This window comes from Homo sapiens, chromosome 11 (genome assembly GCF_000001405.40).
Source record: "Homo sapiens chromosome 11, GRCh38.p14 Primary Assembly".
In the NCBI taxonomy this organism is placed as follows: Eukaryota; Metazoa; Chordata; class Mammalia; order Primates; family Hominidae; genus Homo; species Homo sapiens.
Genome location: NC_000011.10, coordinates 118,709,313 through 118,731,132, shown reverse-complemented (window position 1 = coordinate 118,731,132; position 21,820 = coordinate 118,709,313). Strand labels below are relative to the sequence as shown.

Below are 21,820 nucleotides of genomic sequence, written 5' to 3'. Positions count from 1 at the left end.
GCGCCGATCACGGACTAGGGAAGGCAGCCTTCCCTTGGTGTTTAATCATTGTAGGGACGCCTCTCTGATTATTCACCCATGTTTCAGAGGTGTCAGACCACGCAGGGACACCTGCCTTGGTCCTTCACCCTTAGCGGCAAGTCCCACTTTTCTGGGGAAGGGGTAAGTACCCCAACCCCTTCTCTCCGTGTCTCTACCCCTTCTCCACCTTTCTGGGGTGCAAGAAACCCCCAACCCCTTCTCCTTCACCCTTAGCGGCAAGTACCACTTTTCTGGGGGAGGGGCAAGTACCCCAACCCCTTATATCTCTGCGCCCCGATCCCTAATTTCCATGCCCCAACCTCTTATATCTCTGCACCCCAATCCCTTATTTCTGCGCCCCGACCTCATATCTCTGTGCCCTGACCCCTTTCCCGCTTTCTGGAGGGTAAGAACCCCCAAGCCCCTTCCCTTCATGTCTCTACTCTCTCTTTTCTCTAGGCTTCACTATGGGCAACCTTCCACCCTCAATTCCTCCTTCTTCTCCCTTAGCCTGTGTTCTTAAGAACTTAAAACCTCTTCAACTCTCACCTGACCTAAAATCTAAGCATCTTATTTTCTTCTGCAATGCTGCTTGACCCCAATACAAACTCAACAGTAGTTCCAAATAGCCAGAAAATGGCTCTTTCAATTTTTCCATCCTGCAAGATCTAAATACTTCTTGTCGTAAAATAGGCAAATGGTCTGAGGTGCCTGACGTGCAGGCATTCTTTTATACATCAGTCTCTCCATAGTCTCTGCTCCCAATGCAACTCATCCCAAATCTTCCTTCTTTCCCTCCTGCCTGTCCCTTCAGTCCCAACCCCAAGCGTTGCTGAGTCTTTCTAATCCTCCTTTTCTACAGACCCATCTAACCTCTCCCCTCCTCCCCAGGCTGCTCCTCCCCAGGCTGAGCTAGGTCCCAATTCTTCCTCAGCCTTGTGGGGAAAAGCAAGAGAGATCAGATTGTTACTGTGTCTGTATAGAAAGAAGTAGACATAGGAGACTCCATTTTGTTCTGTACTAAGAAAAATTCTTCTGCCTTGAGATGCTGTTAATCTATGACCTTACCCCCAACCCCATGCTCTCTGAAACATGTGCTGTGTCAAACTCAGGGTTAAATGGATTAAGGGTTGTGCAAGATGTGCTTTGTTAAACAAATGCTTGAAGGCAGCATGCTCCTTAAGAGTCATCACCACTCCCTAATCTCAAGTACCCAGGGACACAAACACTGCGGAAGGCCGCAGGGACCTCTGCCTAGGAAAGCCAGGTATTGTCCAAGGTTTCTCCCCATGTGATAGTCTGAAATATGGCCTCGTGGGAAGGGAAAGACCTGACCGTCCCCCTGCCCGACACCCGTAAAGGGTCTGTGCTGAGGAGGATTAGTATAAGAGGAAGGCATGCCTCTTGCAGTTGAGACAAGAGGAAGGCGTCTGTCTCCTGCCCGTCCCTGGACAATGGAATGTCTCGGTATAAAACCCGATTGTACGTTCCATCTACTGAGATAGGGAAAAACGCCTTAGGGCTGGAGGTGGGACATGCGGGCAGCAATACTGCTTTGTAAAGCATTGAGATGTTTATGTGTATGCATATCTAAGAGCACAGCACTTAATCCTTTACCTCGTCTATGATGCAAAGACCTTTGTTCACGTGTTTGTCTGCTGACCCTCTCCCCACTATTGTCTTGTGACCCTGACACATCCCCCTCTCGGAGAAACACCCACGAATGATCAATAAATACTAAGGGAACTCAGAGGCTGGCGGGATCCTCCATATGCTGAACGCTGGTTCCCCGGGTCCCCTTATTTCTTTCTCTATACTTTGTCTCTGTGTCTTTTTCTTTTCCAAGTCTCTCGTTCCACCTTACGAGAAACACCCACAGGTGTGGAGGGGCAACCCACCCCTTCATCTGGTGCCCAACGTGGAGGCTTTTCTCTAGGGTGAAGGTACTCTCAAGCGTGGTCATTGAGGACAAGTCGACGAGAGATCCCGAGTACGTCTACAGTCAGCCTTACGGTAAGCTTGTGGGCTCAGAAGAAGCTAGGGTGATAATGGGGCAAACTAAAGTAAAACTAAAAGTAAATATGCCTCTTTTCTCAGCTTTATTAAAATTCTTTTAAAAAGAGGGGGAGTTAAAGTATCTACAAAAAATCTAATCAAGCTATTTCAAACAATAGAACAATTTTGCCCATGGTTTCCAGAACAAGGAACTTTAGATCTAAAAGATTGGAAAAGAATTGTTAAGGAACTAAAACAAGCAAGTAGGAAGGGTAATATCATTCCACTTACAGTATGGAATGATTGGGCCATTATTAAAGCAGCTTTAGAACCATTTCAAACAGAAGAAGATAGCGTTTCAGTTTCTGATGCCCCTGGAAGCTGTTTAATAGATTGTAATGAAAAGACAAGGAAAAAAATCCCAGAAAGAAACGGAAGGTTTACATTGCGAATATGTAGCAGAGCCGGTAATGGCTCAGTCAATGCAAAATGTTGACTATAATCAATTACAGGAGGTGATATATCCTGAAACGTTAAAATTAGAAGGAAAAGGTCCCGAATTAGTGGGGCCATCAGAGTCTAAACCACGAGGGCCAAGTCCTCTTCCAGCAGGTCAGGTGCCCGTAACATTACAACCTCAAACGCAGGTTAGAGAAAATAAGAGCCAACCACCAGTAGCTTATCAATACTGGCCGCTGGCTGAACTTCAGTATCAGCCACCCCCAGAAAGTCAGTATGGATATCCAGGAATGCCCCCAGCACCACAGGGCAGGGCGCCATACCCTCAGCCGCCCACTAGGAGACTTAATCCTACGGCACCGCCTAGTAGACAGGGTAGTGAATTACATGAAATTATTGAGAAGAAAGGAAGGAGATACTGAGGCGTGGCAATTCCCAGTAACGTTAGAACCGATGCCACCTGGAGAAGAAGCCCAAGAGGGAGAGCCTCTCACAGTTGAGGCCAGATACAAGTCTTTTTTGATAAAAATGCTAAAAGATATGAAAGAGGGAGTAAAACAGTATGGACCCAACTCCCCTTATATGAGTACATTATTAGATTCCATTGCTCATGGACATAGACTCATTCCTTATGATTGGGAGATTCTGGCAAGATCATCTCTCTCACCCTCTCAATTTTTACAATTTAAGACTTGGTGGATTGATGGGGTACAAGAACAGGTCCGAAGAAATAGGGCTGCCAATCCTCCAGTTAACATAGATGCAGATCAACTATTAGGAAGAGGTCAAAATTGGAGTACTATTAGTCAACAAGCATTCATGCAAAATGAGGCCATTGAGCAAGTTAGAGCTATCTGCCTTAGAGCCTGGGAAAAAATCCAAGACCCAGGAAGCGCCTGCCCCTCATTTAATACAGTAAGACAAGGTTCAAAAGAGCCCTACCCTGATTTTGTGGCAAGGCTCCAAGATGTTGCTCAAAAGTCAATTGCCGACGAAAAAGCCCATAAGGTCATAGTGGAGTTGATGGCATATGAAAACGCCAATCCTGAGTGTCAATCAGCCATTAAGCCATTAAAAGGAAAGGTTCCCACAGGGTCAGATGTAATCTCAGAGTATGTAAAAGCCTGTGATGGAATCGGAGGAGATATGCATAAAGCTATGCTTATGGCTCAAGCAATAACAGGAGTTGTTTTAGGAGGACAAGTTAAAACATTTGGAGGAAAATGTTATAATTGTGGTCAAATTGGTCATTTAAAAAAGAATTGGCCAGTCTTAAATAAACAGAATATAACTATTCAAGCAACTACAACAGGTAGAGAGCCACCTGACTTATGTCCAAAATGTAAAAAAGGAAAACATGGGGCTAGTCAGTGTCATTCTAAATTTGATAAAAACAGGCAACCATTGTCGGGAAATGAACAAACGGGCCAGCCTCAGGCCCCACAACAAACTGGGGCATTCCCAATTCAGCCATTTGTTCCTCAGGGTTTTCAGGGACAAAAACCCCCACTGTCCCAAGTGTTTCAGGGAATAAGCCAGTTACCACAATACAACAATTGTCCCCCGCCACAAGCGGCAGTGCAGCAGTAGATTTATGTACTATACAAGCAGTCTCTCTGCTTCCAGGGAAGCCCCCACAAAAAATCCCCACAGGGGTATATGGCCCACTGCCTGAGGGGACTGTAGGACTAATCTTGGGAAGATCAAGTCTAAATCTAAAAGGAGTTCAAATTCATACTGGTGTGGTTGATTCAGACTATAAAGGCGAAATTCAATTGGTTATTAGCTCTTCAATTCCTTGGAGTGCCAGTCCAGGAGACAGGATTGCTCGATTATTACTCCTGCCATATATTAAGGTTGGAAATAGTGAAATAAAAAGAACAGGAGGGTTTGGAAGCACTGATCTGACAGGAAAGGCTGCATATTGGGCAAGTCAGGTCTCAAAGAACAGACCTGTGTGTAAGGCCATTATTCAAGGAAAACAGTTTGAAGGGTTGGTAGACACTGGAGCAGATGTCTCTATCATTGCTTTAAATCAGTGGCCAAAAAATTGGCCTAAACAAAAGGCTGTTACAGGATTTGTCGGCATAGGCACAGCCTCAGAAGTGTATCAAAGTACTGAGATTTTACATTGCTTAGGGCCAGATAATCAAGAAAGTACTGTTCAGCCCATGATTACTTCAATTCCTCTTAATCTGTGGGGTCGAGATTTATTACAACAATGGGGTGTGGAAATCACCATGCCCTCTCCATTATATAGCCCCAGGAGTCAAAAAATCATGACCAAGATGGGATATATACCAGGAAAGGGACTAGGGAAAAATGAAGATGGCATTAAAGTTCCAGTTGAGGCTAAAATAAATCAAGAAAGAGAAGGAATAGGGTATCCTTGTTAGGGGCGGCCACTGTAGAGCCTCCTAAACACATACCATTAACTTGGAAAACAGAAAAACCGGTGTGGGTAAATCAGTGGCCGCTACCAAAACAAAAACTGGAGGCTTTACATTTATTAGCAAATGAACAGTTAGAAAAGGGACATATTGAGCCTTCATTCTCGTCTTGGAATTCTCCTGTGTTTGTAATTCAGAAGAAATCCGGCAAATGGCATATGTTAACTGACTTGAGGGCCGTAAACGCTGTAATTCAACCCATGGGGCCTCTCCAACCTGGGTCACCCTCTCTGGCCATGATCCCAAAAGATTGGCCTTTAATTATAATTGATCAAAAGGATTGCTTTTTTACCATCCCTCTGGTGGAGCAGGATTGCGAAAAATTTGCCTTTACTATACCAGCCATAAATAATAAAGAACCAGCCACCAGGTTTCAGTGGAAAGTGTTACTTCAGGGAATGCTTAATAGTCCAACTATTTGTCAGACTTTTGTAGGTCAAGCTCTTCAACCAGTTAGAGACAAGTTTTCAGACGGCTATATTATTCATTATTTTGATGATATTTTATGTGCTGCAGAAACGAGAGATAAATTAATTGACTGTTATACATTTCTGCAAGCCGAGGTTGCCAATGCAGGACTGGCAATAGCATCTGATAAGATCCAAACCTCTACTCCTTTTCATTATTTAGGGATGCAGATAGAAAAATTAAGCCACAAAAAATAGAAATAAGAAAGACACATTAAAAACACTAAATGATTTTCAAAAATTGCTGGGAGATATTAATTGGATTCGGCCAACTCTAGGCATTCCTACTTATGCCATGTCAAATTTGTTCTCTATCTTAAGAGGAGACTCAGACTTAAATAGTAAAAGAATGTTAACCCCAGAGGCAACAAAAGAAATTAAATTAGTGGAAGAAAAAATTCAGTCAGCGCAAATAAATAGAATAGATCCCTTAGCCCCATTCCAACTTTTGATTTTTGCCACTGCACATTCTCCAACAGGCATCATTGTTCAAAATACTGATCTTGTGGAGTGGTCATTCCTTCCTCACGGTACAGTTAAGACTTTTACATTGTACTTGGATCAAATAGCTACATTAATTGGTCAGACAAGATTATGAATAATAAAATTATGTGGAAATGACCCAGACAAAATAGTTGTCCCTTTAACAAAGGAACAAGTTAGACAAGCCTTTATCAATTCTGGTGCATGGCAGATTGGTCTTGCTAATTTTGTGGGAATTATTGACAATCGTTACCCAAAAACAAAAATCTTCCAGTTCTTAAAATTGACTACTTGGATTCTACCTAAAATTAGCAGACGTGAACCTTTAGAAAATGCTCTAACAGTATTTACTGATGGTTCCAGCAATGGAAAAGTGGCTTACACAGGGCCGAAAGAACGAGTAATCAAAACTCCATATCAATCGGCTCAAAGAGCAGAGTTGGTTGCAGTCATTACAGTGTTACAAGATTTTGACCAACCTATCTATATTATATCAGATTCTGCATATGTAGTACAGGCTACAAGGGATGTTGAGACAGCTCTAATTAAATATAGCATGGATGATCAGTTAAACCAGCTATTCAATTTATTACAACAAACTGTAAGAAAAAGAAATTTCCCATTTTATATTACTCATATTCAAGCACACACTAATTTACCAGGGCCTTTGACTAAAGCAAATGAACAAGCTGACTTACTGGTATCATCTGCATTCATAAAAGCACAAGAACTTCATGCTTTGACTCATGCAAATGCAGCAGGATTAAAAAACAAATTTGATGTCACATGGAAACAGGCAAAAGATATTGTACAACATTGCACCCAGTGTCAGGTCTTACACCTGCCCACTCAAGAGGCAGGAGTTAATCCCAGAGGTCTGTGTCCTAATGCGTTATGGCAAATGGATGTCACGCATGTTCCTTCATTTGGAAGATTATCATATGTTCATGTAACAGTTGATACTTTTCACATTTCATATGGGCAGCTTGCCAAACAGGAGAAAGTACTTCCCATGTTAAAAAACATTTATTGTCTTGTTTTGCTGTCATGGGAGTTCCAGAAAAAATCAAAACTGACAATGGACCAGGATATTGTAGTAAAGCTTTCCAAAAATTCTTAAGTCAGTGGAAAATTTCACATACAACAGGAATTCCTTATAATTCCCAAGGACAGGCCATAGTTGAAAGAACTAATAGAACACTCAAAACTCAATTAGTTAAACAAAAAGAAGGGGGAGACAGTAAGGAGTGTACCACTCCTCAGATGCAACTTAATCTAGCACTCTATACTTTAAATTTTTTTAAACATTTATAGAAATCAGACTACTACTTCTGCAGAACAACATCTTACTGGTAAAAAGAACAGCCCACATGAAGGAAAACTAATTTGGTGGAAAGATAATAAAAATAAGACATGGGAAATAGGGAAGGTGATAACGTGGGGGAGAGGTTTGCTTGTGTTTCACCAGGAGAAAATCAGCTTCCTGTTTGGATACCCACTAGACATTTGAAGTTCTACAATGAACCCATCGGAGATGCAAAGAAAAGGGCCTCCACAGAGATGGTAACACCAGTCACATGGATGGATAATCCTATAGAAGTATATGTTAATGATAGTGTACGGGTACCTGGCCCCACAGACGATCGCTGCCCTATCAAACCTGAGGAAGAAGGGATAATGATAAATATTTCCACTGGGTATCGTTATCCTATTTGCCTAGGGAGAGCACCAGGATGTTTAATACATGCAGTCCAAAATTGGTTGGTAGAAGTACCTACTGTCAGTCCTAACGGTAGATTCACTTATCACATGGTAAGCGGGATGTCACTCAGGCCACGAGTAAATTATTTACAGGACTTTTCTTATCAAAGATCATTAAAATTTAGACCTAAAGGAAAACCTTGCCCCAAGGAAATTCCCAAAGAATCAAAAAATACAGAAGTTTTAGTTTGGGAAGAATGTGTGGCCAATAGTGCGGTGATATTACAAAACAATGAATTCGGAACTATTATAGATTGGGCACCTCGAGGTCAATTCGATCACAATTGCTCAGGACAAACTCAGTTGTGTCCAAGTGCACAAGTGAGTCCAGCTGTTGATAGCGACTTAACAGAAAGTCTAGACAAACATAAGCATAAAAAATTACAGTCTTTGTACCCTTGGGAATGGGGAGAAAAAGGAATCTCTACCCCAAGACCAAAAATAATAAGTCCTGTTTCTGGTCCTGAACATCCAGAATTATGGAGGCTTATTGTGGCCTCACACCACATTAGAATTTGGTCTGGAAATCAAACTTCAGAAACAAGAGATCGTAAGCCATTTTATACTATCGACCTAAATTCCAGTCTAACGGTTCCTTTACAGAGTTGCGTAAAGCCCCCTTATATGCTAGTTGTAGGAAATATAGTTATTAAACCAGACTCCCAAACTATAACCTGTGAAAATTGTAGATTGTTTACTTGCATTGATTCAACTTTTAATTGGCAGCAGCGTATTCTGCTGGTGAGAGCAAGAGAAGGCGTGTGGATCCCTGTGTCCATGGACAGACCGTGGGAGGCCTCGCCATCCATCCATATTTTGACTGAAGTATTAAAAGGCATTTTAAATAGATCCAAAAGATTCATTTTTACTTTAATTGCAGTGATTATGGGATTAATTGCAGTCACAGCTACGGCTGCTGTGGCAGGAGTTGCATTGCACTCTTCTGTTCAGTCGGTAAACTTTGTTAATGATTGGCAAAAGAATTCTGCAAGATTGTGGAATTCACAATCTAGTATTGATCAAAAATTGGCAAATCAAATTAATCATCTTAGACAAACTCATTTGGATAGGAGACAGACTCATGAGCTTAGAACGTCGTTTCCAGTTACAGTGTGACTGCAATACGTCAGACTTTTGTATTACACCCCAAATTTATAATGAGTCTGAGCATCACTGGGACATGGTTAGACACCATCTACAGGGAAGAGAAGATAATCTCACTTTAGACATTTCCAAATTAAAAGAAAAAATTTTTGAAGCATCAAAAGCCCATTTAAATTTGGTGCCAGGAACTGAGGCAATTGCAGGAGTTGCTGATGGCCTCGCAAATCTTAACCCTGTCACTTGGGTTAAGACCATCGGAAGTACTACAATTATAAATCTCATATTAATCCTTGTGTGCCTGTTTTGTCTGTTGTTAGTCTGCAGGTGTACCCAACAGCTCCGAAGAGACAGCGACCATCGAGAATGGGCCATGATGACGATGGCGGTTTTGTCGAAAAGAAAAGGGGGAAATGTGGGGAAAAGCAAGAGAGATCAGATTGTTACTGTGTCTGTATAGAAAGAAGTAGACATAGGAGACTCCATTTTGTTCTGTACTAAGAAAAATTCTTCTGCCTTGAGATGCTGTTAATCTATGACCTTACCCCCAACCCCGTGCTCTCTGAAACATGTGCTGTGTCAAACTCAGGGTTAAATGGATTAAGGGTTGTGCAAGATGTGCTTTGTTAAACAAATGCTTGAAGGCAGCATGCTCTTTAAGAGTCATCACCACTCCCTAATCTCAAGTACCCAGGGACACAAACACTGCGGAAGGCCGCAGGGACCTCTGCCTAGGAAAGCCAGGTATTGTCCAAGGTTTCTCCCCATGTGATAGTCTGAAATATGGCCTCGTGGGAAGGGAAAGACCTGACCGTCCCCCAGCCCGACACCCATAAAGGGTCTGTGTGAGGAGGATTAGTATAAGAGGAAGGCATGCCTCTTGCAGTTGAGACAAGAGGAAGGCGTCTGTCTCCTGCCCGTCCCTGGACAATGGAATGTCTCGGTATAAAACCCGATTGTACGTTCCATCTACTGAGATAGGGAAAAACGCCTTAGGGCTGGAGGTGGGACATGCGGGCAGCAATACTGCTTTGTAAAGCATTGAGATGTTTATGTGTATGCATATCTAAGAGCACAGCACTTAATCCTTTACCTCGTCTATGATGCAAAGACCTTTGTTCACGTGTTTGTCTGCTGACCCTCTCCCCACTATTGTCTTGTGACCCTGACACATCCCCCTCTCGGAGAAACACCCACGAATGATCAATAAATACTAAGGGAACTCAGAGGCTGGCGGGATCCTCCATATGCTGAACGCTGGTTCCCCGGGTCCCCTTATTTCTTTCTCTATACTTTGTCTCTGTGTCTTTTTCTTTTCCAAGTCTCTCGTTCCACCTTACGAGAAACACCCACAGGTGTGGAGGGGCAACCCACCCCTTCAAGCCTCTGCTCCTCCACCCTATAATTCTTTTATCACCTCCCCTCCACACACCCGTCCGGCTTACAGTTTCATTCCGTGACTAGCCCTCCCCCACCTGCCCAGCAATTTACTCTTAAAAAGGTGGCTGGAGCTAAAGGCATAGTCAAGGTTAATGCTCCTTTTTCTTTATCCCAAATCAGATAGCGTTTAGGCTCTTTTTCATCAAATATAAAAAACCCAGCCCAGTTCATGGCTCGTTCGGCAGCAACCCTGAGATGCTTTACAGCCCTAGACCTAAAAGGTCAAAAGGCTGTATTATTCTCAATATACATTTTATTACTCAATCTGCTCCCGACATTAAATAAAACTCCAAAAATTAAATTCCAGCCCTCAAACCCCACAACAGGATTTAATTAACCTCACCTTCAAGGTGTACAATAATAGAAAAAAGTCGCAATTCCTTGCCTTTACTGTGAGACAAACCCCAGCCACATCTCCAGCCCACAAGAACTTCCAAACGCCTAAACCGCAGTGGCCAGGCGTTCCTCCAGAACCTCCTCCCCCAGGAACTTGCTACAAGTGCCAGAAATCTGACCACCAGGCCGAGGAATGCCTGCAGCCCAGGATTCCTCCTAAGCCGTGTCCCATCTGCGCGGGACCCCACTGGAAATCGGACTGTTCAACTCACCTGGCAGCCACTCCCAGAACCCCTGGAATTCTGGCCCAAGGCTCTCTGACTGACTCCTTCTCGGCTTAGCAGCTGAAGACTGATGCTGCCTGATCGCCTTGGAAGCCCCGTAGACCATCGCGGATGCCGAGCTTTAAGTAATCTCACAGTGGAGGGTAAGTCCTTCCCCTTCTTAGTCAATACGGAGGCTACCCACTCCACATTACCTACTTTTCAAAGGCCTGTTTCCCTTGCCTCCATAACTGCTGTGCGTATTGACAGCCAGACTTCTAAACCTCTTAAAACTCCCCAACCCTGCTGCCAATTTAGACAATACTCTTTTGAGCACTCCTTTTAGTTATCCCCACCTGCCCAGTTCCCTTATTAGGCTGAGACACTTTAACTAAATGATCTGCTTCCCTGACTATTCCTGGATTACAGCTGCATCTTATTGCTGCCCTTCTTCCCAATCCAAAGCCTCCTTTGCGTCCTCCTCTTGTATTCCCCCACCTTAACCCACAAGTATAAGATACCTCTACTCCCTCCTTGGTGACCAATCATGCACCCCTTACCATCTCATTAAAACCTAATCACCCTCACACGGCTCAATGCCAATATCCCATCCCACAGCATGCTTTGAAAGGATTAAAGCCTGTTATCACTCGCCTGCTACAGCATGGCCTTCTAAAGCCTATAAACTCTCCTTACAATTCCCCCATTTTACCTGTCCTAAAACCAGACAAGCCTTACAAGTTAGTTCAGGATCTATGCCTTATCAACCAAATTGTTTTGCCTATCCACCCCATGGTGCTAAACCCATATACTCTCCTATCCTCAATACCTCTCTCCACAATCCATTACTCTGTACTGGATCTCAAACGTGCTTTCTTTACTATTCCTTTGCACCCGTCATCCCAGCCTCTCTTCGCTTCACTTGGACTGACTCTGACACCCATCAGGCTCAGCAAATTACCTGGGCTGTACTGCCACAAGGCTTCACAGACAGCCCCCATTACTTCAGTCAAGCCCAAATTTCATCCTCATCTGTTACCTATCTCGGCATAATTCTCATAAAAACACACGTGCTCTCCCTGTTAATCATGTCTGATTAATCTCCCAAACCTCAATCCCTTACAAAACAACAACTCCTTTCCTTCCTAGGCATGGTTAGTGCGGTCAGAATTCTTACACAAGAGCCAGGACCGCACCCTGTAGCCTTTCTGTGCAAACAACTTGACCTTACTGTTTTAGCCTAGCCCTCATGTCTCCGTGCAGCGGCTGCTGCCGCCCTAATACTTTTAGAGGCCCTCAAAATCACAAACTATGCTCAACTTACTCTCTACATTTCTCATAACTTCCAAAATCTATTTTCTTCCTCATACCTGACGCATATACTTTCTGCTCCCTGGCTCCTTCAGCTGTACTCACTCGTTGTTAAGTCCCACAATTACCATTGTTCCTGGCCCGGACTTCAATCCGGCCTCCCACATTATTCCTGATACCACACCTGACCCCCATGACTGTATCTCTCTGATCCACCTGACATTCACCCAATTTCCCCATATTTCCTTCTTTCCTGTTCCTCACCCTGATCACGCTTGATTTATTGATGGTGGTTTCCACCAGGCCTAATCGCCACACACCAGCAAAGGCAGGTTATGCTATAGTACAAGCCACTAGCCGGCCTCTTAGAACCTCCCATTTCCTTTCCATCGTGGAAATCTATCCTCAAGGAAATAACTTCTCAGTGTTCCATCTGCTATTCTACTATCCCTCAGGGATTATTCAGGCCCCCTCCCTTCCCTACACATCAAGCTCGAGGATTTGCCCCCACCCAGGACTGGCAAATTAGCTTTACTCAACATGCCCCGAGTCAGATAACTAAAATACCTCTTAGTCTAGGTAGACACTTTCACTGAATAGGTACAGACCTTTCCTACAGGGTCTGAGAAGGCCACCGCAGTCATTTCTTCCCTTCTGTCAGACATAATTCCTCAGTTTAGTCTTCCCACCTCTATACAGTCTGTTAACAGACCAGCCTTTATTAGTCAAATCAGCCAAGCAGGTTTTCAGGCTCTTAGTATTCAGTGAAACCTTTATATCCCTTACTGTCCTGTGTCTTCAGGAAAAGTAGAACGGACTAAAGGTCTTTTAAAAACACACCTCACCAAGCTCAGCCACCAACTTAAAAAGGACTGGACAATACTTTTACCACTTTCCCTTCTCAGAAGTCAGACATGTCCTCAGAATGCTACAAGGTACAGCCCATTTGAGCTCCTGTATAGATGCTCCTTTTTATTAGGCCCCAGTCTCATTCCAGACATCAGACCAACTTCCACCGTGCCCCCAAAAAAACTTGTCATCCCTACTATCTTCTGTCTAGTCATACTCCTATTCACCGTTCTCAACTACTCATACATGCTCTGCTCTTGTTTACACTGCCGGTTTACACTGTTTCTCTAAGCCATCACAGCTGATATCTCCTGGTGCTATCCCCAAACTGCCACTCTTACCTCTTGAAGTAAATAAATAATCTTTGCTGGCAGGACTATGCTGAATCTCCTTAGGCACTCTCTAATCAGATGTCCTGAGTCGTCCCAATTCTTAGACCTTTTATACCTGTTTTTCTCCTTCTCTTATTCCATTTAGTTTTTCAATTCATACAAAACTGTATCCAGGCCATCACCAATAATTCTAAATGACAAATGTTTCTTCTAACAACCCCACAATATCACCCCTTACCACAAAATCTTCCTTCAGCTTAATCTCTCCCACTCTAGGTTCCCACGCCACCCCTAATCCCGCTCGAAGCAGCCCTGAGAAACATCCCCCATTATCTCTCCATACCATCCCCCAAAATTTTCGCCATCCCAACACTTTACCACTATTTCATTTTATTTTTCTTATTAATATAAGAAGACAGGAATGTCAGCCCTCTGGGCCCAAGCTAAGCCATCATATCCCCTGTGACCTGCACGTACACATCCAGATGGCTGGTTGCTGCCTTAACTGATGACAATCCACCACAAAAGAAGTGAAAATGGCCCGTTCCTGCCTTAACTGATGACATTGTCTTGTGAAATTCCTTCTCCTGGCTCATCCTGGCTCAAAAGCTCCCCCACTGAGCACCTTGTGACCCCCACTCCTGCCTGCCAGAGAACAACCCCCTTTGACTGTAATTTTCCTTTATCTACCCAAATCTTATAAAATGGCCCCACCCCTATCTCTCTTCACTGACTCTCTTTTTGGACTCAGCCTGCCTGCACCCAAGTGATTAAAAGCTTTATTGCTCACACAAAGCCTGTTTGGTGGTCTCTTTACACGGACGTGCATGAAAGTGGCCGGGCACAGTGGCTCAGGCCTGTAATCCCAGCACTTTGGGAGGCCGAGGCAGCTGGATCACAAAGTCAGGAGTTTGAGACTAGCCTGACCAACATGGTGAAACCCTGTCTCTACTAAAAATACAAAAATTAGCCGAGTGTGGTGGCATGCACCTGTAATCCCAGCTACTCAGGAAGCTGAGGCAGGAGAATCGCTTGAACCTGGGAGGCGGAGGTTGCAGTGAGCCAAGATCACGCTATTGCACTCCAGCCTGGGTGACAGAGAGAGACGCCATCTCAAAAAATAAAAATAAAAAGTAAAGGGGAAAAAGCAGGCAGGAGGGGAAAGGGAACATTAAAAAAAAAAAAAAGAGGGAGGATATGGTCACTTTGTTTTGCGGCTTTGTTTAAGCTCACTGAATCCACATGTTGCACAGGAAAAAAAGGGAGTAGAAGGCCGGGCACGGTGGCTCACGCCTGTAATCCCAGCACTTTGGGAGGCCGAGGTGGGAGGATCACCTGAGGTCAGGAGTTTGAGACCAGCCTGGCCAACAAGGCGAAACCCCATCTCTAATAAAAATACAAAAATTAGCCAGGCGTGGTGATGCACGCCTGTAATCCCAGCTACTGGGGAGGCTGAGGCAGGAGAATCGCTTGAACCCGGGAGGCAGAAGTTGCAGTGAGCCAAGATCACACCACTGCACTCCAGCCTGGGTGACAGAACAAGACTCCGTCTCAAAAAAAGAAAAAAAAAAAAGGGGGTGGGGGCGGGGGGTAAAAGGAACAGTCAATTCTGTATTCATCTCACATGGTAAATTGGCACTTTACATAAGACAAAATAAACAGAGTACAGGAAACAGTCAAATATGCATTTATCTTGGAGTGGGTGGGGACGATGATTTCTAGTCTCCTCTTGTCCCTTACCTACCCTCATCCCCCGCCTGCAAAGATAAGCTGTTAATTTACATTGTCAGGGTGAAGGAGGCCACCTGTGGCCTTCCATCTGCAGCTATCAGTTTAGAAACAAAAGGAAAGGCACTTGTTCCCGCCCCCTCCCGTGACTCAGCTTCCACACTTAACTTTTCCTTTTTGGCATAGTGAATTTGGGCTCCCAAGATTTTATTCTTCCTTTCACACTTTCTGGCTTATCAAGTTGCTCATTTACTTCTCAAGGTCAGCTAGGTGCCTGGAATTTCCCTTGAAGGAAGGAACTCAAGGTTTTTGTTTTATTTCCATGCTGGGGTGGTCGGGGGAGCAGCCACAGGCCTCTAAGGAGGAATCCTGCTCTGTCTCAATCACAGGGTCTCTGCTAAGAGAATGCAGCCTTCTAACATGCTGCTAGACACAGGCAGGATGAAACACTCCAGTCTGGTGGAACAAAACCTAAATCAAGCTTGTCCAACCCACAGCCCACAGAGTGCATGTGTCCCGAGACAGCCTTGAATGCGGCCCAATGCAAATTCTCAAACTTTCTTAAAACATCATGAGATTTTTTTGTGATTTTTTTTTTTTTTTTAGCTCATCAGCTATCGTTAGTGTATTTTATGTGCAGCCCAAGGCAATTCTTCTTCCAGAGCAGCCCAGGGAAGCCAAAAGATGGGGCAACCCTGAAAATCAAGTCACTGCAGTGTGGTTTCACAACCTTTTACACAGGCCTCAGAGCTAAGCTAGTGCAGGGATCCAGGGCCTGTGGCCTGAGACAGGCCAGGCCCCTTTGGGAAGGACCCTGCAATGTGCCACAGGTAACCTGTGACTCTTCCCCACGCCCTCACCCTCCCACCCCATATGCACAGAGGGATCTGCAGCCATTCCCCAGGGTAACGGGGGCAGTCACTGTGTGCAGGGGCAGATGTGGGTTTGGGGGCTGTAAATAAAAAATAAAATTCTAAGGCCCCCCTAATCATCTGAATGGACCCCTCCTCTTGGCCAAAGACATTCCAAAGTTAACCTGAAAAACTAGTTCAGGCCATGATAGAAAAGGAGGTTGGACATGCCTCATTATCCCTCCAGCATCAACATCAACACAAACCTTACCTCTGATAAGAAACATTTACAATCTATTCTCTCTGAAGCCTGCTACATGGAGGCTTCATTTACATGATAAAACCTTGATCTCCACATCCACTTATCATAACCCAGACATTCCTTTTTTACTGATAACTGTTTTTTTTTTTTTTTTTTTTTTTTTTTTTGGAGACAGAGTTTTGCTGTTGTTGCCCAGGCTGGAGTGCAATGGTGTGATCTCGGCTCACCACAACCTCTGCCTCCTGGGTTCAAGCGATTCTTCTGCCTCAGCCTCCTGAGTAGCTGGGATTACAGGCATGTGTCACCATGCCCGGCTAATTTTGTATTTTTAGTAGAGACAGGGTTTCTCCATGTTGGTCAGGCTGGTCTTGGACTCCTGACCTCAGGTGATCCGCCCACTTCAGCTGTATTCTGACCACCCTGGGCACATGTCATCAGGGCCTCCTGAGACTGTGCCATGGGCCCTGCTTAACCTTTGCAAAATAAACTTTTTTTTTTTTTTCAGACGAAGTCTTGCTCTGTCACCAGGCTGGAGTGCAGTGGTGTGATCTCAGCTCACTGCAACCTCTGCCTCCTGGGTTCAAGCAATTCTCCTGCCTCAGCCTCCTGAGAAGCTGGGACTACAGGCACGCACCACCACGCCCAGTTTATTTTTTGTATTTTTAGTAGAGACGAGGTTTCACCATGTTGGCCAGGATGGTCTCAATCTCTTGACCTTGTAATCTGCCCACCTCGGCCTCCCAAAGTGCTGGGATTACAGGCGTGAGCCACCACGCCCAGCAGCAAAATAAACTTTCAAAATCGATTGAGACCTGTCTCAGATACTTTTGGGTTCACAAGGCCCTGAGACTAATACAATTTGAGGTACCATTTTTTAATAAAATAACCCAAAATGACAAATAAACAGTTGTAAATAAAGCAAATACTATTTATTTATTTTCTCTTTTTTAGAGAGATGAGGTCTTGCTCTGTCGCCCAGGCTAGAGTGCAATGGTGCAGTCATAGCTCACTGCAGCCTCAACCTGCTGGGCTCAAGTGGTCCTCCCGCCTCAGCCTCCTGAGTAGCTGGGATTACCAGTGTGCAACACCATGGTTGGCCAATTAAAAAATTTTTTTTTATAGAGACAGTGTCTCACTATGTTGTCCAGGCTTTTCTCAAACTCCTGGGCTCAAGTGATCCTCCTGCTTCGGCTTCCTAAGATGTCAGAGGCGTTTGAACTTTAGATTCCATTTGAGGTTTTTTTGTTGTTTTTTTGTTCTTGAGATGGAGTCTCACTCTGTTGCCCAGGCTGGAGTCCAGTGGTGTGATCTTGGCTCACTGCAACCTCTGCCTCCTGGGTTCCAGCAATTCTCCTGCCTCAGCTTCCTGAGTAGCTGGGAATACAGGTGTGCACCACCATGTCTGGCTAATTTTTGTATTTCTTAGTAGAGACGGGGTTTCACCATATTGGCCAGGCTGGTCTCAAACTCCTTACCTTGTGATCCGCCTGCCTCAGCCTCCCAAAGTGCTGGGATTACAGGTGTGAGCCAGCACGCCTGGCCTAGACTCCATTTTGAATAGGGGCTGGGTAAAATGAAACCTACTGGGCTTCATTCTCAGGAGGTTCAGTCATTCCTTTTTTTTTGAGACAGAGTCTTGCTCTTGTTGCCCAGGCTGGAGTGCAGTGGCACGATCTCGGCTCACTGCACCTCCACCTCCCGGGTTCAAGTGAGTCTCCTGCCTCAGCCTCCTGAGTAGCTGGGATTACAGATGCCTGCCACTATGCCTGGCTAATTTTTGTATTTTTAGTAGAGACAGAATTTCACCATGTTGGCCAGGCTGGTCTTGAACTCCTGACCTCGTGATCCGCCTACCTCGGCCTCCCAAAGTGCTGGGATTACAGGCGTGAGCCACCGCGTCCAGCCCCAGGCATTCTTAGTTACAGGATAAAACAGGAGGTCAGACAAGATACAGGTCACAAAGACCTTGCTAATAAAACAGTTTCAGTAAAGAAGCCAACCAAAACCCACCAAAACCAAACGGCGATGGAAGTGACCTTTGGTCATCCTCATGCTCATTATATGCTAATTATATGTATGTATGTATTAGCATATATACACTCCCACCAACACCATGGCAGTTTACAAATGCCGTAGCAACGTGAGGAAGTTACCCTATATGGTTTAAAAAGAGGGAGGAACCCTCAGTTCCGGGAATTGCCCACCCCTTTCCCCGAAAACTCATGAATAATCTATTCCTTGTCTAGCATATAATCAAGAAGTAATAAGTTCATGCTGCTTGCTGCTCTGCCTATGGAATAGCCATTTTTTATTCCTTTACTTTCTTAATAAACTTGCTCTCACTTTACTCTATGGATTTGCCTCAAATTCTTTCTTGCTCGTGATCCAAGGACCCTCTCTTTGGATCTGGTTTGGGACCCCTTTCTGGTAACAGGATCACTTGAGCCTGGGAGTTGGAGGCTGCAGTGAGCCGAGATCACACCACTACATTCCAGCCAGGGCAACAGAGAGACCCCGTCTCAAAAAAAAAAAAAAAAAAAAAAAAAAATGCTGGGCGCAGTGGCTCACTTTGGGTGGCTGAGGCAGGAAGATTGCTCAGGAGTTGGAGACCAGCCTGGGCAACATTGTGAAACCCTGTCTCTATAAAAATTAGCTGGGTGTGGTGGTGCACACCTGCTGGGGAGGCTGAGGTGGGAGGATCCCTTGAGCCCCCTAGGGAGGTCTAGGCTGCAGTGAGGTGTAATCGCGCCATTGCACTCCAGCCTGGGTGACAGAGTGAGACCTTGTTTCAAAAAAATTTTTTTTATTAAAAAAAATTGTTGTTTTAAAGTTATAGTCTAGAAAAGTTTCAGCTTCTAACACATTATTGGAAAAGTGCAATTTTAGAGTTGTTGTCAATGTTGGGGAAATCTTGATCAGGTTTCTTTCATATATGAGCTGTAAGATTTGTTTTTTGTTGTTGTTGCTGTTTTAATTTTTAAATTTATTTATTTATTTAATTGGAGATGGAGTTTTGCTCTTGTTGCCCAGGCTGGAGTGTAACAGCACAATCTCGACTCACAGCAACCTCTGCCTCCCGGGTTCAAGCAATTCTCCTGCCTCAGCCTCCCGAGTAGCTGGGATTACAGGCGTGTGCCACCATGCCTGGCTAATTTTGTATTGTTAGTAGAGACAGGGTTTCTCCATGCTGGTTAGGCTGGTCTCAAACTCCCGACCTCAGGTGATCCACCTGCCTTGGCTTCCCAAAGTGCTGGGATTACAGGCATGAGCCACCACCCCCAGCTTTAAATTTTTTCTTAATATAGAGACAGGGTCTTGCCATGTTGCTCAGGCTGGTCTTGAACCCTGGGCTCAAGTGATCCTCCCGTCTCAGCCTCCCAAAGTGCTGCGATTACAGGTGTGAACCCCATAATATTTGGAAGCATCTTCTATAGTTTAACTTATGGCTCCATACGTTTCAAAGCTTGGTTCCCTTCCATTACCTGTATTTTCAGTGCCAGGGACTGTAAGCCAGGTTCATATTTGAAGACTACTTATAACCTGCATTCATGTTGCAGTACTGGATGATAGGCACAGTAGGTGTGCCTACTGTGTAGAGTATTTTTGGAAGCCATTTCTATACCAGAATTGTTACCAATTACTTAACTACACACAGCAGTGACTGTGAACTTCATACAAATATCTACATAAACATATCTCCGCCGGGCGCAGTGGCTCAAACCTGTAATCCTAGCACTTTGGGAGGCCGAGGCGGGCGAATTGCCTGAGGTCAGGAGTTTGAGACCAGCCTAGGCAACACAGAGAAACCCCGTCTCTACTAAAATACAAAAAATGTACCACATGAGAGACTGAGGCAGGAGAGTTGCTTGAACCTGGGAGGCAGAGGTTGCAGTGAGCCGAGATCGCACCACTGCACTCCAGCCTGGGCGACTCCATCTCCAAACAAACAAACAAACAAACAAAACTCAATAAACCCAAACAGATGTATCTCCACCTCAATTTTCCTTTAGATGGTCCCCCAAAATAACTACAACCATTCTAGTGCCTTAAGGAAAGATGAGAGAGAAGGTAATAGAGAGTGGAAAGAGGCAGGGATTGCCATTAATATGCCTCAATCTTGTGCAATTTATTTTGTGTAACATTATATTTCAATAAAGTCCAACTAGCCCAGCATGGTAGTTCATGCCTATGATCCCAGCAACTTGGGAGGCTGAGGCAGAAGGATCACTTGAGGCCAGGAGTTGGAGACCAGCCTGAGCAACATAGTGAGACTGTTGCTAAAAAAAATTTTTTTTAATTAGCAGGATATGGTGGTATGGACCTGTTGCCCCAGCTACTCAGGAGGCCGAGATGAAACAATCACCTGACCCCAGGAAGTCGGGGCTGCAGTGAACTAGGATCATGCCACTGCACTCTAGCCTGGGCAACAAGGTGAGACACCATCTCTAAAAATAATAATAAAAAAATAAAGTCTGGTCAGGTGCTGTGGCTCACGCCTATAATCCCAGCACTTTGGGAGGCCGAGACAGGTGGATCACGTGAGGCCAGGAGTTTGAGACCAACCTAGCCAACACGGGGAAACCCTGCCTCTACCAAAAAATACAAAAAAATTAGCCTGGTGTGGTGGTGTGCATCTGTAGTCCCAGCTACTCGGGAGGCTGAGGCGGAAGAATTGCTTGAACTGGGAGGTGGAGGTTGCAGTGAGCCGAGATCACACCACTGCACTCTAGCCTGGACGACAGAGTGAGATCCTGTCTCAAAAATAAAGTCGGGGGGCTGGGTTCAGTGGTTCATACCTGTAATCCCAGCATTTTGGGAGGCTGAGGTGGGCAGATCACTTGAGGTCAGGAGTTTGAGAGAGACTGGCCAACAACAGTGAAACCCCATCTCTACTAAAAAAGTACAAAAGGCCGGGTGCCATGGCTCACGCCTGTAATCCCAGCACTTTGGGAGGCTGAGGCAGGTGGATCACGAGGTCAGGAGTTCAAGACCAGCCTGACCAACATGGAGAAACCCCGTCTCTACTAAAAATACAAAATTAGCCGGGTATGGTGGCACATGCCTGTAATCCCAGCTACTCGGGAGGCTGAGGCAGGAGGATCGCTTGAACCAAGGAGGCGGAGGTTGCAATGAGCCAAGATAGTGCCATTACACTACCAGCTTGGGCAACAAGAGTGAAACTCCGTCTCAAAAAAAAAAAAGTACAAAAATTAGCCAGGCTTGGTGGTGTGCCCCTGCAGTCCCAGCTACTCGGGAGGCTGAGAGGTGAGAATCTCTTGAACCCAGGAGGCAGTGCTGCCATTGCACTCCAGCCTGAGCGACATAGCAAGACTCTGTCTCCAAAAAATCAATAAATAATAAAAAATAAAGTCCAGGTGGGGCACGGTGGTTCATGCCTGTTATCCCATCACTTTGGGAGGCCGAGGTGGGCGGATCACCTGAGGTCAGGAGTTCAAGACCAGCCTGACCAACATGGAGAAACCTCATCTCTACTAAAAATACAAAATTAGCCGGGCATGGTGGCACATGCCTCTAATTTCAGCTACTCGGGAGGCTGAGGCAGGAGAATCCCTCGAACCTGGGAGGCAGAGGTTGTGGCAAGCCAAGATCGTGCCACTGCACTCCAGCCTGGGCAACAAGAGCAAAACTCCATCTCGAAAAATGAAAAATATTAAAAAAAAAATAAAGCCCAACTAAAAAATTTTTTATGT

At 44.9% G+C, this 21,820-nt stretch overlaps 1 protein-coding gene across 4 annotated transcripts, besides 7 other annotated features; it reads left to right on the top strand.

Moving 5' to 3' along the window:
* The first annotated feature begins 1,720 nt into the window (after nucleotides 1-1,720).
* On the top strand, nucleotides 1,721-21,797 carry LOC124902766 (endogenous retrovirus group K member 7 Env polyprotein-like). Of its 4 annotated transcripts, XR_007062912.1 has the most exons (3): nucleotides 1,781-7,438; nucleotides 9,058-10,940; nucleotides 20,414-21,796. XR_007062912.1 is itself a non-coding variant. In XM_047428000.1 (2 exons), exon 1 carries the CDS (start codon nucleotides 7,685-7,687, stop codon nucleotides 8,750-8,752), a length of 1,068 nt encoding a protein of 355 aa, XP_047283956.1. In that variant the 5' UTR covers nucleotides 7,602-7,684; the 3' UTR covers nucleotides 8,753-10,940; nucleotides 20,411-21,797. The 4 variants fall into 4 exon arrangements, 2 of the variants coding, with proteins under 2 accessions (XP_047283956.1, XP_047283957.1); XR_007062911.1 differs by lacking the exon at nucleotides 20,414-21,796 and having other exon boundaries at nucleotides 1,721-2,034; nucleotides 9,058-13,146; XM_047428000.1 differs by lacking the exon at nucleotides 1,781-7,438 and having other exon boundaries at nucleotides 7,602-10,940; nucleotides 20,411-21,797.
* Nucleotides 4,231-4,732: an enhancer, noted in NCBI's record as "NANOG hESC enhancer chr11:118597110-118597611 (GRCh37/hg19 assembly coordinates)". NCBI's record gives its function as "activates a minimal SCP1, AML or CMV promoter by ChIP-STARR-seq in primed H9 embryonic stem cells {active_cell/tissue: H9 hESC(primed)}" and the evidence as "EXISTENCE:reporter gene assay evidence [ECO:0000049][PMID:30033119]".
* Nucleotides 9,243-9,983: an enhancer, noted in NCBI's record as "OCT4-NANOG-H3K27ac hESC enhancer chr11:118591859-118592599 (GRCh37/hg19 assembly coordinates)". NCBI's record gives its function as "activates a minimal SCP1, AML or CMV promoter by ChIP-STARR-seq in naive H9 embryonic stem cells {active_cell/tissue: H9 hESC(naive)}" and the evidence as "EXISTENCE:reporter gene assay evidence [ECO:0000049][PMID:30033119]".
* Nucleotides 10,724-11,465: an enhancer, noted in NCBI's record as "H3K27ac hESC enhancer chr11:118590377-118591118 (GRCh37/hg19 assembly coordinates)". NCBI's record gives its function as "activates a minimal SCP1, AML or CMV promoter by ChIP-STARR-seq in naive H9 embryonic stem cells {active_cell/tissue: H9 hESC(naive)}" and the evidence as "EXISTENCE:reporter gene assay evidence [ECO:0000049][PMID:30033119]".
* Nucleotides 11,504-12,309: an enhancer, noted in NCBI's record as "NANOG-H3K27ac-H3K4me1 hESC enhancer chr11:118589533-118590338 (GRCh37/hg19 assembly coordinates)". NCBI's record gives its function as "activates a minimal SCP1, AML or CMV promoter by ChIP-STARR-seq in primed H9 embryonic stem cells {active_cell/tissue: H9 hESC(primed)}" and the evidence as "EXISTENCE:reporter gene assay evidence [ECO:0000049][PMID:30033119]".
* Nucleotides 13,118-13,923: an enhancer, noted in NCBI's record as "OCT4-NANOG-H3K27ac hESC enhancer chr11:118587919-118588724 (GRCh37/hg19 assembly coordinates)". NCBI's record gives its function as "activates a minimal SCP1, AML or CMV promoter by ChIP-STARR-seq in naive and primed H9 embryonic stem cells {active_cell/tissue: H9 hESC(naive and primed)}" and the evidence as "EXISTENCE:reporter gene assay evidence [ECO:0000049][PMID:30033119]".
* Nucleotides 13,924-14,731: an enhancer, noted in NCBI's record as "OCT4-NANOG-H3K27ac-H3K4me1 hESC enhancer chr11:118587111-118587918 (GRCh37/hg19 assembly coordinates)". NCBI's record gives its function as "activates a minimal SCP1, AML or CMV promoter by ChIP-STARR-seq in primed H9 embryonic stem cells {active_cell/tissue: H9 hESC(primed)}" and the evidence as "EXISTENCE:reporter gene assay evidence [ECO:0000049][PMID:30033119]".
* Nucleotides 14,732-15,537: an enhancer, noted in NCBI's record as "OCT4-NANOG-H3K27ac-H3K4me1 hESC enhancer chr11:118586305-118587110 (GRCh37/hg19 assembly coordinates)". NCBI's record gives its function as "activates a minimal SCP1, AML or CMV promoter by ChIP-STARR-seq in naive H9 embryonic stem cells {active_cell/tissue: H9 hESC(naive)}" and the evidence as "EXISTENCE:reporter gene assay evidence [ECO:0000049][PMID:30033119]".
* Nucleotides 21,798-21,820: the final 23 nt, after the last annotated feature.

Bases quoted from the DNA above. Each gene is read 5' to 3' on its own strand.
- LOC124902766 (XM_047428000.1), top strand. From the start codon at position 7,685: ATGGTAAGCGGGATGTCACTCAGGCCACGAGTAAATTATTTACAGGAC.